Consider the following 2,609-nt stretch of genomic DNA (forward strand, 5'->3'; position numbering starts at 1 on the left):
TTCTGAATATATATGAACCCAACACCAATGCACCCAGGTATATAAAGCAATTGGATTCAAATACATTATTAATATTTGGAGACTTCAATATCCTACTCTTAGCATTGGACAGATCATCTAGACAGAAAAGCAACAAAGAAACAGTGGATTTAAACTGCTCTTTAAACCAAATGGACCTAACAGACATTTACAGAATACTTTACACAGCACCTGCAGAAATACATTCTTTGCATCAACACATGGAACCTTCTCCAGGATAGACTATAAATTGGGACACAAAACAGGTTTCAACAATTTTTTTTAAAATAAAACTAGAAATAAATAATAAAAAGAACTTTGGAAACTGTACAAATAGATGGAAATAAAACATGCTCCTGAACAACCACTAGCTCAATGAAGAAGTTAATTCTTTTTTTTACAGGCTTAATTCACTTTACTTTTCTTGTATAAAAACCCTATGTTGTAGCCACAGCTGGAGCCTGGGTCCGCTGTACGGAGACTCTGGTGTGGGTCTTGAGGAGGTGGTCAGTGAATTCCTGATAGGGAGACTTGGTAAATACAGGTCTCCTTCCAGAGGTCGGGGGCCAGGTAGCTGTAGGTCTTAGAAATGGCATCAAAGGTGGCCTTGGCGAAGTTGCCCAGGGTGGCAGTGCAGCCTCGGGCTGAGGTATAGCAGTCATTGATACCAGCCATCATAAGCAGCTTCTTGGACACAGGTGTGGAGACGATGCCAGTGCCCCTGGGTGCAGGGATGAGGTGCAGCAGCACAGAGCTGCAGCGGCCTGTAACCTTGCAAGGGACGGTGTGGGGCTTGCTGATCTTGTTCCCCCAGTAGGCTCTGCGCACGGGGACAATGGAGAGCTTGGCCAGGATGGTGGCCCCACGGATGGCGGTGGCCACCTCCTTGGAGCACTTAACATCCAGACAGAAGTGGCCATTGTAGTCCCCGACAGCAACAAACGCCTTGAACCTGGTGCCCTGGCAGGCAGGGGACTGCTTCTGCACCGGCATAATCTTCAAAACCTCATCCTTGAGAGAGGCCCCCAGGAAAAAGTCAATAAGTCAATGATCTCTGATTCCTTTATGGGCAGGGAGAAGAGATAGATCTCCTCCAGGGACTTGATCTTCATGTCCTTGACCAAGTGGCCCAGCTTGGTGACGGGCATCCACTCCTTATCCTCAGCTTTGCCTCCATGAGCTCCACGGCCTCGGCCCTGGCCCCATCCATGGCCGCTACCCTGGCCCTGGATGCCACTGCCGAAACCTCCACCGAAGCCACCGTGGTTCCCCATCCCAGGGCCACCAGGGCCTCTGGCCCCCCACTCCCCCGCTGCACCAGCGTCATCCACCATTTGGTGTTTTCTTGGAGAAGAAGAAAGAAGTTAATTTTTAAACAAATGAAAACAGAAACACAATGTACTAAAACCTTTAGGATATAGCAAAAGCAATGTTAAGGTAGAATTTTATAATAATAAATGCCTACATCAAAAAAGTAGAAAAATTTAAAATAATCTATGTACCTCAAGAAACTACCAAAATAAGAACAAATCTAACCCCCAATTTATAGGAAAAAGAAATAACGAATATTAGAGCAGAACTAAACAAAGTGGACACTAAAAATAAAAATACAAAGGATGAATTAAACAAAAACATTTTTTGAAAAGATAAAATTGGTAAACTGCTACCTAGATAAAACAAAGAATAAAAGAATGACCAAAATAAACAAAATGAGAAATAAAAAGGGAAATATTACAACCAATACCACAAAAATATAAACAACTGTCAGAGACTGTTATGAAAAGCTATGCTTAAACATGTTGGAAAACCTGGAGAAAATGGATAAATTCCTGGACTTATGCAACTTACCAAGATTGAACAAGGAAGAAAGAGGGAACATAAACAGAACAATGAGTAATAAGATTGAACCAGTAATAAAAAATCTCCCAACAAAGAAAAGCTCAGTAAACTGGCTTTACTGCTGAATTTTACCAAAATTATAAGGAAAAACTAACACTAATTCTTCTTAAACTATTCTAAAATATTAAAGAGGAAGGAATCCTTTCTAAATCATTCTATGAGCAAGACATACCTGGACACTAAGACCAGACAAGGACACACAATAAAAGACTACAGGCACATATCCCTGATGAACATAGGCACAAAATTCCTCAACAAAATACTAGCAAACAGAATCTAACAACACATCAAAAAGATAATACACCAAAATCAAATGAGATTTGTCCTAGGGATGCAAGGATAGTTTGATATATGCGAATTAATAGATGTGATGCATCATATCAACAGAATGAAGGACAAAACCATATTGACCATCTCAATAGATGCAGAAAAAGTATTTGATAAAATTCAACAATGTTTCATAATAAAAACTCTTCACAAATTAGGCATAGGAGTAACATACCTCAATACAACAAAGGCCATGTATGACAAATCCACAGCTAACATCATAATAAATGGGGAAAATCTGAAAACCTTTTCTCTAAGAACTGGAACAAGACAAGGATGCCCAGTGTTACTACTCTTATTCAATATAATGCTGAAAGTCCTAGCCAGAACAATATGGTAAGAGAAAGAAAGAAAAGGCAACCAAG

General features: G+C 40.4%; 1 pseudogene; it reads right to left on the minus strand.

The window, feature by feature from the left end:
* On the minus strand, positions 418-1,375 carry RPS2P21 (ribosomal protein S2 pseudogene 21; annotated as a pseudogene).

This window comes from Homo sapiens, chromosome 4 (assembly GCF_000001405.40).
Source record: "Homo sapiens chromosome 4, GRCh38.p14 Primary Assembly".
NCBI classification, from domain to species: Eukaryota; Metazoa; Chordata; class Mammalia; order Primates; family Hominidae; genus Homo; species Homo sapiens.